The sequence below is a fragment of the Homo sapiens genome, chromosome 2 (assembly GCF_000001405.40).
Source record: "Homo sapiens chromosome 2, GRCh38.p14 Primary Assembly".
Taxonomy (NCBI): Eukaryota; Metazoa; Chordata; class Mammalia; order Primates; family Hominidae; genus Homo; species Homo sapiens.
Window position 1 is genome coordinate 239828155 of NC_000002.12, and position 13620 is coordinate 239841774.

General features: G+C 49.9%; 1 annotated feature.

The window, feature by feature from the left end:
- Window positions 3215-3730: an enhancer, noted in NCBI's record as "H3K4me1 hESC enhancer chr2:240753063-240753578 (GRCh37/hg19 assembly coordinates)". NCBI's record gives its function as "activates a minimal SCP1, AML or CMV promoter by ChIP-STARR-seq in naive H9 embryonic stem cells {active_cell/tissue: H9 hESC(naive)}" and the evidence as "EXISTENCE:reporter gene assay evidence [ECO:0000049][PMID:30033119]".

Genomic DNA, 13620 nt, shown 5'->3' on the forward strand with positions numbered 1-13620 from the left:
GGAAAAACTCTTCCTTTTCATGCCGGATAAAACCCAGCCATCAGAAGTGTAATCCTCTAGGGAAAGAGGTGTATCCCAGAGCCAGAGCTCACTGCTTCTCCCGAGAGCCCGTGCCCTGCACTGCTGACTGGCCCTGAGCTCCCCCAGAGCCACCAGCCACATGGGTTCCCGCACCGATCTCCAGCTCGTTTTGAAAAATAATTTGAATCTCTCCATGGGCACATGGCAATGTGTTCTAATCTAACACAAGCTGTGGCTGCAGGGCCCGGAGCACAGGAAGAGGCCACAGCTGGGGAGTCTCCAGGTCCTGGTGGTCCTGCTCATCAGATGAATCTGGGAGAGAGAAACTTGAGGTCTTCGAGTTGATTCTGCAAGAGCCAACACTGCTATGAGGACACCGAACTGTGAATGGCACCGCAGGGTGTGTTTCCTGGGGATAATGAGAGGCCAGACAACCCCTGGGCTTCCAGCAGGGATGGAGGTCTTGGCGGGTGGCACAGAAGCACTCGCCTCTGCTGCTCCAGGCCACTTCACTGTGTTATTCGGAGCACACGTGTCTGCAGGGGGCGTGAGGTGCTGTGACAACAGATAGAGCCAAGCATGGAAGGGCCACAGGACGGAGGGTCATCCCCACCCCTCAAGCATGGAAGGGCCACAGGACGGAGGGTCATTCCCCACCCCTCACCACGAGGGCGGGCCAGACCTGGGCAGGGAAGGGGTCAGCTGCATGTGGTCACTCAGGACCTGCCATCAAGGGTGGCCATCTGGAACTCAGAGCTTCCAAAAGCACCCTGGGCCACCATCCTAATCGCCGGAAGAGCAGACATCCCAGAGAAGGAACCTGGGAGGGCCTTCCGGGGCCGGGTGCGGAGGAATCCTGAGTCGCTCCCTCACACTCTCTGGGCCAGAACTCAGCCACCCAGGTCCCTGGCAGCAGAGCGTGCTGGAAGTGCGGCCCAGCACAGCCGAGAGTTCTGGGGCCAGCGGTGGCTGCCACCATCCCTTTCCCAGAGGGGGCCCTGGGCACAGCCAAGAGTTCCGGGGCCAGCGGTGGCTGCCACCATCCCTTTCCCAGAGGGGGCCCTGGGCACAGCCAAGAGTTCCGGGGCCAGCGGTGGCTGCCACCATCCCTTTCCCAGAGGGGACCCTGGGAAGGGAAATGGAGGGGTGCGGAAGCTCTGCTGTAGGCGGGCCAGACGGGAGAACTGAGGACACCCATGCTGGGAAAGAGACTCGAGCTTTGAGCATCTTCAAATATTTGAAAATCGTTAGTGCTTTGACTGCCGTGAGTCCAAAGGGAAGTGGAGAAAACGGGCAACGATCACCAAGAGCTATTTTGGGTTTCCACGAGAAGTAACAGCAAGCCAAGATCTCCCGGACTGGAGCAGCTTTGCGAGGCAGGGATCTTTGTCCTGAGACGGCTGTCAAGCCTCCGGGGGTGCGGTGGGGACGGAACCCACGGGCCACAAAAAGGTTTCAACCTTCCAGGGTGAAAATTTTGCAAAGCAGAAGCTCTCCCCCATCCAAACTTCATTTTAAAAATATATTTCCACACTTTCCTCTTTCCTTTTCTAAATCCATTCTCTTCTGTCCTTTTCTAAGATCTGGGACTCCATCATCCTTCACTTCTAGGAAAAAAGAGCCTGCAGGCCTGGGTCCAGCCTGCAGAAGGCTCAAACTCTGTCTCGGCATAGCCACACACGGAGCTCCTTTAATTCCAAGCTTCTTCAGCAGAACAAAACATTAATGGGGAGAAGGGGAGTCTGTTGAAAGCCACCTACCTACTTTTAGAATGGACAAGAGAGATTACAAACCCATGACTGCAAGCCGCTGTAAACTTTAACAAAGTACCATTTTTTATTATTACTGAGAAATATTTTCCCACGCTGTTCACGTCTGCGAATTGGGGGAGGGAGGTGGAGAGTGCGAGGGCAGGTGTACCTGAGACCACTAGGTAGACAGCGTGGGCTAAGAGCAGCTGAGGGCTGTGCCTGCTGCAGCAGCCTTCAAGAAGGAAGGAGCCCCAGACGTGCCAGCAGAGACTGCCTCCCAGACATGGACTGTCCACCCATCTCCAGCAGGGCCAGGGAGTGTGCTTCCAAGTGGGGGCGTGGCACTCAGCCTGCAGCTCTCAGACTGGATGAGATGCCCCTCAAGCCCATTGGCCTGGCATTGACCACTGGCACTCACCCCATGGCAGAGGCGGCTCAATGACAGAAAGAGCCCTGGGAAGCAAGGCCCCCATTCTTATGGGAGCTCAGCCTGCAGCTCTGGTCCCTGTGGCCCCAGCAGCACCGTCCGCTCCCTGGGCCTACACCCGCATCTTCATCTGAGAAGTGAAATGGTTGCAATGCTTGTCCTCACTACTTAGGGTTGACCTATGGTCAAATGCAAGAGTGTGTGCAGAGCTTAGCCTCTGATGTGTGGTTAAGACTTAGTCATGCAAGCTATTATTAGGAGTATTAAACATCAATCACTTGAGGTCACCTTCAGCTCCAGCTGTGCAGGCCATGCCTCAGTCTCACTGCCAAACACCTCAGGGCTAATTTCAAGGTATTGTATTCCTTGAGTAAGTGTATCTTTAAAACCAACTATAAAATCTCCTTGTCCTATAGAAAATCACAGACTCCTGAGCCGGCTGCCTGCAGATGGGTCAAGAAAGAGGCAGACCACAACGTGAACTCCCTTCTGGCAGCCAGCCACCGTCCTCCCCAGGCACCAGACCCCAAGCCCACCTGGCAGGGACCTGGGCTCCCAGCACTGGCCCAGTACATGCAGAGCTCATGGGGAGCATTGCACCTGTTAGGTGACTGGGCCAGGTTGTGCTGTTGAGGCCAATGGCAGGTCCCCTGCCTTCACAAGCAGGGCCAAGCAGCTGCAGGGTACCCTGTGCTGGGCCCTGGCCAGCCCTTCTTGCGTCCCTCAGCAGCGTTTGCTAGAACAGAGCTGCTGGCCTAATGAGTTTCAGGATGTTTATCTCTCACACCACGGAGCATATATTCCTGAGTGTGTGTTTAAATCCACACATTCCAAAGGGCAACCAGGGATGTTTATCCAAGGCTCACTCTCCTCAAACCATTGTTTTATGCCTCCCTGTTTTCCAAGCCATTTCCTATTTTCCTGCTGATATCATGAAAACATAAAATTTTTCCGCACACGCTAAGTGCCTAGAATGGCAGCCAGCTGGTCTAAAGCTGGAAAGGGCCATGAGAGGATCAATGGCCCACAGGAAATGGGCGAGGAGGGCTCCTCGATGGCTGCTGCGGCTGACAATAGGCTCTGCACATGCTCTGTGACACATGCCCCCTGGGGGCCCTAAGAAACCAGCTGCTGACCCTTCCGGGCTGGGAGGAATGTGGGGAAAGTGTAAACCGGGGGATGAGAGATAATGGCCTGGCCCCATGAGCCCAGCCCTCCTGGCCAGCTTTGCAGAACAGCCCGGAGGGCTCACATGCTGACTGCAGGCCTCCCTGCTCCCTCAAGGGAACTTTCCCTCCGAGACGGAGCCTCTGGGCTGGGGGTGGTGCACGCCTCCCTGCAGGTATTAGCGGATGCAGATACTGACTGGTGGCCTCGGTGGGAGGCGCTGCTGTTCTGCAAACTCCCAGTGAGGGTGACGTGGCTGGTCTTGGGGGGGTCACGGGCTGCTCGGTTATCCTTAGTGAAAACAGTCACTCCAGGCACAAAGCTCTGTCACATATAAACTATCATCCCATGAGGGAAGCAGAGAATTCTCCATATTGCAATTTGAGAAAATGAATAGGGAAGTAAGTAACTGTGGAAATTCACAAACCAGGTCATTTATTCACTCAACAAATATCTCTTGAGCCCTGCTGATATGGTTTGGCTGTGTTCCCACTCAAATCTCATCTTGAATTCCCACATGTTGTGGGAGGGACCCAGTAGAAGGTAATTGAGTCATGGGGATGGGTCTTTCCCATGCTGTCCTCATGACAGTGAATAAGTCTCATGAGATCTGATAGTTTTAAAAAGGGGAGTGAATAAGTCTCATGAGATCTGATCATTTTGAAAAGGGGAGCACAAGCTCTTTCTGTTTGCCTGCTGCCATCCATGTGAGACATGATTTGCTCCTCCTTGCCTTTCACCGTGATTGTGAGGCCTCCCCAGCCATGTGGAAGAGTAAGTCCATTAAACCTTTTTCCTGTACAGCCAGGCCCGGTGGCTCATGCCTGTAATCTCGGCATCTTGGGAGGCTGACGCAGGTGGATCACTTGAGGTCAGGAGTTCAGAGTGTGTGCAATAACATATCAGAAGCAAGTCAAAGGAAATCAGGTCTCTGACAAGCAAGCATAAAAATTAAAAAAAAAAAAAAAAGACAGAGAAAGGAAAACCAGGAGGCCAGACTAGCACCCCACGGTTCAGTGAGATGCACTGGGAAGGGAAGGTCTTCGCTTTCCATTGTTTTCATCACAGAAGCGTAACGCTTGGTGCACACTTGGTAAATAACTAGCATATGGTATCACCAAGTCTGACATGTGTGTGCAAAGCCAGGGAGCCTCAGATGGGAAGCACCCCTGTGATTCCGGGACAGGATCGTCAAAGGAAAGGGAAGGAAGGGGCCTCGTGTTACCCTGGGGCAGGGGCAGGGGCATCCTGAGACGCCCAGGGCAGGGAGGCCGGCAGGACCCAGGAGAGCCTGCAGGAGTGAGTGGGGAACCCCACACATTTGCTGCTGCTCTCCCTGCCTCTGCTGTAAGTCAAGGTCGTCTGCAAACCAGCCACTCAGTGCCCAGGAGCCTGGCAGTCCCTTGCTAGTGCTCTCCTCCGGGGAGACAGCCTCAGGCTAGTACAGGACAGATTCCCTGTGTCCTGTGGTTGGCCTGGGATGGGAGGATCCCAGAGTTACTGGGTGGCTTTCTCTGCCTTTAGCTACAACAGGAGGAACATCAGAGCATTGACCTTGGTGTTAAACTGGGGAGGAGAGAATAAGATGGAGCAGCCCGGGCAGTTGGCCCCTCTGAAAGGCACCAGCCTCATCGAAGTTCTTCCAGTTCCGAGGAAAGCGGGAGTACGGAGGGTCACCAGCTCCACCCAGGTCCACGGCGAGTTAGTACAGCCACGGAGGAGAGAGTGGGGAATCCACAGCAGATCATGGGCTCCAGGGCTGAGGGACACCCAGGTAAGCACACCCAGAAGAGGGCACAGATTGGGAGCAGGCACACGGGGAGGATCCAGCTGGTGGCAGCCCCTGGAGAGGAGGCTCCCGGAGGAACATGGCTGAGAGCTTTGTCAGGAAGAGAGGAAGGTGAGGGGCCTCACGGGGGACATGGAGAATGGGGCCAGGGACAATGGCAGCAGAGGAGCAAACGAGAAAGGCCATCCCCATCGAGCAGAGCCGGGAGGGTTGGCAACACGAAAGTCCAGGGAGAGATGGCCCTGGGCGAAGAGAGTAAATGAGCAGAGGTGGAGGCAGTGGACAGACCCCAGCCCTTCCGGGAAGCTGGAGATGAAGATGCTGTGGGTATCATAGTGTCTGCCCCACCCATGGCTGTCCCTGGCCGGCAGAGGGGCAGCAATGAGCAGGCCATGCTCCCAGGTGGCTTGGGGCAGCTAAGATCTGTGGTCATGCGTGTGGGTGCCTGTGAAGAAGGGGAAGAGGGGGAGGAGGTGGGTTGGGGAAGGGAAGGGCAGAGACACCATACGCCTAGGCTGGTTGCTCGGAAATCGAGTTCTCCTCCACCCTGGGAGGGACATGGTGCCAGGACCATCAACCCCACCAAGGAGATGGCAGGACCAGTCCTTCTCTCCCTCCTTCCCTCCCTACCGCAGAGGAAGTGACAGTGCTGGTCATGGCAGGCCAGTGGGCCCCCCGTAGAGCCCGAGTCAGACTCCGATGGCCGCTGTCCACTATGTGGGCACTCAGGACATCAGAAAACAGGTGGCCATCTGCAGAGTATTTCAGAGCGTCTCCTCTGAGCTAGTCGAATCTGTGAGAACTGCCTCTCATGGACCAAAATTCATCAGGAGTTGCATCTGGATAATGGTCTTCTAGGAAAAAAAATAGGAGGAGTCACCAAATAGAAGCCTCTGAAGCAAGGTGGTCTGGAACCAGAGCAGGGAGGAGAAAACAACGGCACCAAAAGCATCCTCTTTTCACCAACACGTCAACTCCTGATGATGACCTTACCCACATTCCCTGGCCAGGGGTCTTCAGCATCCCCGTGAGCCATCCTGGTGGCCAGAGCCTGCTCACAGGGCGAGGGGAGCGTGCAGGCAGCCTGCAGAAAGGCTGAGCCCTCCGCCTGGGTGCTGAACCCCACATGGGATAGCAACTGCCAAGACTAGGGCTACGTGCAAAGGATTCCCAGAGCTTGACCCGTGAGTACCAATTCCAGAGCAAGATCCTTCCCTGTCTCTAAAGAGGCAGGGAACACGGTGGCAGCAGAGAGAAGCAAATCATGGCTGGGGGTGGTGGCTCACGCCCAGCACTTTGGGAGGCCGACGCGGGCGGATCACGAGGTCAGGAGATCGAGACCATCCTGGCTAACACAGTGAAACCCCATCTTTACTAAAAATACAAAAAATTAGCCGGGCGTGGTGGCCGGAGCCTGTAGTCCGGAGGCTGAGGCAGGAGAATGGCGTGAACCCGGGAGGCGGAGCTTGCAGTGAGCCGAGATCGCGCCACTGCACTCCAGCCTGGGAGATAGAGTGGGACTCCGTCTCAGAAAAAAAAAAAAAAACATGCGGTAGCCGCTATCTTGCATGTCTGCTGCGCCATTTAATTTTAACATCCGCACACTGGTGAAAGGTGAGCGCTGAAAGAGCGATTTCTTGGGAAACTCAAGTTGCATTCTTTGGAAAGCCTTACTAAAGGCAGTTGAATTGTGTACTGGAAAGGTGTGTAAAAGACAGGCCAGCAGAACAATTGTAAGGATGAAGAACTACACTCAGGTTATTCTGCAAGTGTCTCTAAGCTTTCATTCTAATGTTTTTTTTTTTGTTGTTGTTGTTTTTGTTTTTTTTTAATGGCAGTGAGAAGCAGAGATGATGCACTAGGGGGGTGGCTCAATAAAGATGGCCTGGAACGCAGCCGCTGCCCCAATCCAAGAAACAGTGGTGGCCCACACCCAACGGCTGGCCAGGGGACGGCTTCCACAGCTCAGGTTCAAGTGAAAGGGTAGGGTGCACGTGGACTTTTGTTGTGATCCCCCACATGGTCTTTCTAAATGTGTTCAGTAACTCCTATCCTGATCTTGCTGCACATCATCTCCTCCTCTTCATCTAACTTTAAAAAGGTAAAACTTCCAGGCAGGTGGATTACTTGAGGTTAGGAATTTGAGACCAGCCTGATTGGTGAAACCACAAACTACTAAAAATATAAAAAATTAGCTGAGCGTGGTGGCACGTGCCTGTAATCCTAGCTACACGGGAGGCTGAGGCAAGAGAATCAGTTGAAACTGGGAGGCAGAGGTTGCAGTGAGCTGAGATCATGCCATTGCTTTCCAGGCTGGGCAAGAGAATGAGACTGTCTCCAGGAAAAAAAAAAAAAAAAAAGGTGAAATTTAACTGGTCTCTCAAGAGCCCCTCTTAACAAGGCCCCTCCCATGCAAACTCTGTCCCCACTCCCAACACTATTCAACCTTATGAATTCATTATTCATTATATCATCTCAGGCCTCTTAAAGCATGTTTGCATCTTAGGAAACATATAGAATTATTTTGTGTGCATATGTGCTGCATAAATGATGCCAGGTTATATGGGTTATTCTACAATTTGCTTCTTTCCTCAATTAAAAACTAACTTGAGGGTTCAGCCATGTTCATGAATCTAGTTTGTTCATATGTGTTTCAATGTATAACTTGCCATATTTTAAAATAGTTTGGGATGAAATGCACCTATATGGATGATGGTGTGGATGGCAACAGTGAGCCATCTGGAGTGGCCGCTGTCATCACACCAGCTGCAGCAGAGAGACACGAGCGGTGGTGGCAGGAGTGGCTGCAGGAGTAGCAGTGGTGGTGGTGAGGGCAGGACCCACTCCCAGGCCCAGAGCCTCAGCCACAACCTCAACCGTGCTCCCCGAGGTGGAGCTGGGCCCAGGGTGGTGCCATGCTCCATAGAGCCAGTGGGAGCCAGGAACAGGAAGGAGCTTCACCCTCCCAGGTATGGCTGCAGATACCCAAGTTGTGGCTGTGGACCCAGGCATCTCTGCACTCTCAGGGACCCTGAGAAGGCCCCCTTTTGCCCCCACAGGCTCAGAGGTGTCTGGTTCCACTACCTGGCCTCTTCCCGCTGTCAACACCTGCTCCAATCATGGAGCAAAGTTGAGACTGAGCCTAGGCACCGTCACAACCCAGCTAGGTGTGTGCATGCTTGGGGCAGCACTGACACACCAGCCCCCTGCCACCTTGGCCCCCTCTGGACTTTGGGCACCAATGAGCATGGGAGGGAGACTGACAGTGTGCTGAGGGCAGCTCAGCACTGACCTACATGCACCCCTTGGCACAAACAGCCTGGGCACCATGAATGGTGGCAGAAAGCAGACAGGATCCTGGGCAGAAGGGGGTAGGTCCCTGGTGAAGCCCCACCCTCAAGTTGATGGGGACCTAAAACCTGGGGGCCAGGTTGCCAGTCCAATGAACTGGAATGAGAACTTGTGGTGTCTTTTCTGGCCCACCATTGGCCACCCACGAACCAATCAGCACTCACTTCCTCCCCTCTGAGGCTCTTAAAAGCCCCAGACTCAGCCAGAGTCCAGATGACAGGATGACCAGCTGCGGAGAGAAGCCGCCCACCCCAGCATCTCCTCTCTGCTGAGAACTGGACATTCATCAGGATGACCTGCCTAGTAGAAGGGGGCTACCCTCTCTGCTGAGAGCTGAAGAGGTGATGGATGACCAGCTGCAGAGAGGAGCTGCTCTGTCTGCTGAGAGCTGGACACTCCTCAGGACACTCTGGCTATAGAGAGGAGCTGCCCACTGCAGGTCTCCTCTGAGCTGTTCTATTGCTCAATAAAGCTCCTCTTCATCCTGCTCATCCCCCGATTTTCTGCATACCTCATTCTTCCTGGAAGCAGGACAGGAGGGCTAAAAGAGACATAACACAGCTTTGTTCTTTTGGCTTAGAATTGACTTGGCAATGTGGGCTCTTTTTTGGTTCCATATGAACTTTAAAGTAGTTTTTTCCAATTCTGTGAAGAAAGTCATTGGTAGCTTGATGGGGATAGCATTGAATCTATAAATTACCTTGGGCAGTATGGCCATTTTCACGATATTGATTCTTCCTATCCATGAGCATGGAATGTTCTTCCATTTGTTTGTGTCCTCTTTTATTTCGTTGAGCAGTGGTTTGTAGTTCTCCTTGAAGAGGTCCTTCACATCCCTTGTAAGTTGGATTCCTAGGTATTTTATTCTCTTTGAAGCAATTGTGAAAGGGAGTTCACTCATGATTTGACTCTCTGTTTGTCTGTTATTGGTGTATAAGAATGCTTGTGATTTTTGCACATTGATTTTGTATCCTGAGACTGCTGAAGTTGCTTATCAGCTTAAGGAGATTTTAGTCCTAAGCCAAAAGAATAAAGCTGGAGGCATCATGCTACCTGACTTCAAATTATAGTACAAGGCTACAGTAACCAAAACAGCATGGTACTGGTACCAAAACAGAGATATAGACCAATGGAACAGAATAGAGCCCTCAGAAATAATACCACACATCTACAACTATCTGATCTTTGACAAACCTGACAAAAACAAGAAATGGGGAAAGGATTCCCTATTTAACAAATGGTGCTGGGAAAACTGGCTAGCCATACGTAGAAAGCTGAAACTGGATCACTTCCTTACACCTTATAGAAAAGTTAATTCAAGATGGATTAAAGACTTAAATGTTAGACCTAAAACCATAAAAACCCTAGAAGAAAACCTAGGCAATACCATTCAGGACATAGGTATGGGCAAGGACTTCATGTCTAAAACACCAAAAGCAATGGCAACAAAAGCCAAAATTGACAAATGGGATCTAATTAAACTAAAGAGCTTCTGCACAGCAAAAGAAACTACCATCAGAGTGAACAGGCAACCTACAGAATGGGAGAAAATTTTTGCAATCTACCCATCTGACAAAGGGCTAATATCCAGAATCTACAAAGAACTCAAACAAATTTACAAGAAAAAAACAAACGACCCCATCAAAAAGTGGGCAAAGGATATGAACAGACACTTCTCAAAAGAAGACATTTATGCAGCCAACAGACACAAGAAAAAATGCTCATCATCACTGGCCATCAGAGAAATGCAAATCAAAACCACAATGAGATATCATCTCACACCAGTTAGAATGGCGATCATTAAAAAGTCAGGAAACAACAGGTGCTGGAGAGGATGTGGAGAAATAGAAACACTTTTACACTGTTGGTGGGACCGTAAACTAGTTCAACCATTGGGGAAGACAGTGTGGTGATTCCTCAGGGATCTAGAACTAGAAATACCATTTGACCCAGCCATCCCATTACTGGGTATATACCCAAAAAAATATAAATCATGCTGCTATAAAGACACATGCACACGTATGTTTATTGTGGCACTACTTGGAACCAACCCAAATGTCCAACAATGATAGACTGGATTAAGAAAATGTGGCACATATACACCATGGAATACTATGCAGCCACAAAAAAGGATGAGTTCATGTCCTTTGTAGGGACATGGATGAAGCTGGAAACCATCATTCTCAGCAAACTATCGCAAGGACAAAAAACCAAACACTGCATGTTCTCACTCATAGGTGGGAATTGAACAATGAGAACACTTGGACACAAGAAGGGGAACATCACACACCAGGGCCTGTTGTGGGGTGGGGGGAGGGGGGAGGGGGGAGGGATAGCATTAGGAGATATACCTAAGGTAAATGAGGAGTTAATGGGTGCAGCACACCAACATGGCACATGTGTACATATGTAACAAACCTGCACATTGTGCACATGTACCCTAGAACTTAAAGTATGATAAAAGAATATATATATATAAAAGAAAGATGTAACACAAACAGGGCTAAAACATGCCCTTTGCCCACCACATTGTGGGTGACAAGAGGGAGGGAAGACAGAAGGAGAGAAGAGCTGCAGCCCTTCAGATAGCTCAGACCTAGAAGTGCCCTGAGCCAGGGCTGTGACACCTTTTTTAGGGCTCTGCAGTTCCTGGCATCTCCAAGCTTCTAGGTGCCATAACAGATTCCCTGGTATCAGCCATGGAAGCTGCTTATGGTACACCTGGTCCAACTGTAGCCTTGCAGGGAGCCAGCATGCCTAACCACGCAATGGTGGGACCTCACACTTGCTCACACATCCCTTGCTGCTCCATGCCTGGCTCGCCCTTGGCAGGTGTGAGATCCAGGCTGGTAGTGGGAGCTGAACACAGCCTGCCAGGCTAAGTGGGCAGAACAAACCCAGCGGGCCAGAGCAAAACTCAGGCAAATGCACCAGTGGCCGCAGAGGTTTCTGGCTGGCAAAGTGACACCCCAGGGATCCTTTAACAGTGTGAGGCACAGATGTCACACAGGACATTGAGGTGACACCGGAATCTCCCCAGACCCCTGCCCCAGGCTCACACCCCAGGCTGCTTCCCAAGAGGTAACCACTCCCAGAATGTTGGGGTCTAATCCCTTGCTTTGTTTTTATGGATTTATACCATAAGTCTTGCCTTAAACAATCGATTGTTTAATTTGGGCTGGTCTCAATGGTAACTTATAAAATGATACTGTGCTCTCTGAGGGCTTCTGCATGTTGCCTTCTTTACCTGGCATCATGCTGAATTTCCTGGGGACATTCATGCTATGACACAACTGCTGAGCCCTGATTGCCTCTGTTGTCTGACATTCCGTCATGCACACATCATAGTGTGTTGTATACAATATGCACAGTGTATTGCTCCTCTCTCCTGTGGATGGGCATTTGGGTTTTCTTTGTTTTGTTGTTTTTAATAAACAATGCTATTGGGAACATTTTCATATAGGATCCCTGGAACTCTTATCTGAGAGTTTCTGTAGGCTGGATGGCTGGGAGTTGACTTGGAAGTGTACTGTCCACTTTTAAGATAATGCCATGTAACTTCCCAAAGGGGTTGTCCCACATTTTGTCCGTCCACTCCTCTAACAATGAGTATTTTCCCTACCATCAGCCATGCTGTGATGAATGGCATTGTCCTCCTGGTGGTGTGTGAGAGCTTCCGGCAATATTCCTAGAAATGGAATTGCTGGGTCAGTGTATGTGAGTTCAAAATTTTAATAGGTAGCTCCAGGCAACCTTTGCCCGTTTGCCCCATCGGCGATGTCTAAAAGAATCAGGTATTCTAGTGTCTTCCCATCCTAATATCTTCCCATCTCATATTGTAACAATGTCATTTCTACAATCAGATGAAAAGTGTCGTGTAATCGTTGTTTTACTTTGCAGCTCTCTGATTGCCAATGACAGTGAGCCCCTGTTTGGATGTTTATTGGCCGTTCCTATTTCTTCTTATGCAGTTTGCTACTCAGATCTTTGCCCATTTTCTGCTAGGCTATTTGTCTCTTGGGCGTGTGCAGGATCCCTTTATATGTTTTGGATCACTCATCTTTGCCTGGATAGCAATGACATTTTTTCCAGTTTGTTCTTATTTATTTATTTATTTATTTATTTATTTATTTATTTATTTTGAGACGGAGTCTTGCTCTGTTGCCCAGGCTGGAGTGCAGTGGCGTGATCTCGGCTCACTGCAAGCTCCAACTCCCAGGTTCACTCCATTCTCCTGCCTCAGCCTCCCAAGTAGCTGGGACCACAGGCACCTGCTACCACGCCCGGCTAATTTTTTGTATTTTTAGTAGAGACGGGGTTTCACTGTGTTAGCCAGGATGGTCTCGATCTCCTGACCTCGTGATCCACCTGCCTCGGCCTCCCAAAGTTCTGGGATTACAGGCGTGAGCCATTGCGCCTGGCCATTTGTTCTTATTTTTAGCTTAGTTTTTTATATCTTAATGTCATGCAAAAATCTAAATTTTACATAACCAGTGTTATCAATATGTTTATTATATGAATTTTGCTTTGAAGTCTTTTTTAAACACCGTCTTCTACGTGTAAATATGAAAAATATTGTATCTTACATTTAAATAAGATAATCTTAGAGCTCCATTTTTAAAAATTTCATTTTTCATTACATATATCCGGAATTTATTTATGTCTATGGTGTGAGGTAGAAATAGAATGTTTCCCACATGGGTACCAGTTTTCTCAGCACTTTCTATTGAATGGCCTGTCCTTTCCTTACTGGTCTGGGAGGCTGCTTCTATATGGACCCAGGTCACACATACAAACAGCCTCTTTCTGGAGCTTCTGTTGTTTCACTGATACAGGTGTCTATGTCCACACTATGACTCACTCACTGTTGTAAATACCAACCTTGTTCTTTCATATTTGGTAGAGTAAATTTTTAAAAACAAAACTCTTTGCTTTTCTATTTTAAGTTGCTTGAAATGTATGCTTGCATATGAATTTTAGGATCACTTTGTCAAGTTCTATAAAAAAATCTTTCAAAATTAATGAATTTTAATTGACATAATTGTACATACTTATGGGATAGAATTTGATGTTTTGATACACATCTGTGTTGTATAATGATTCAATCAGGGTAT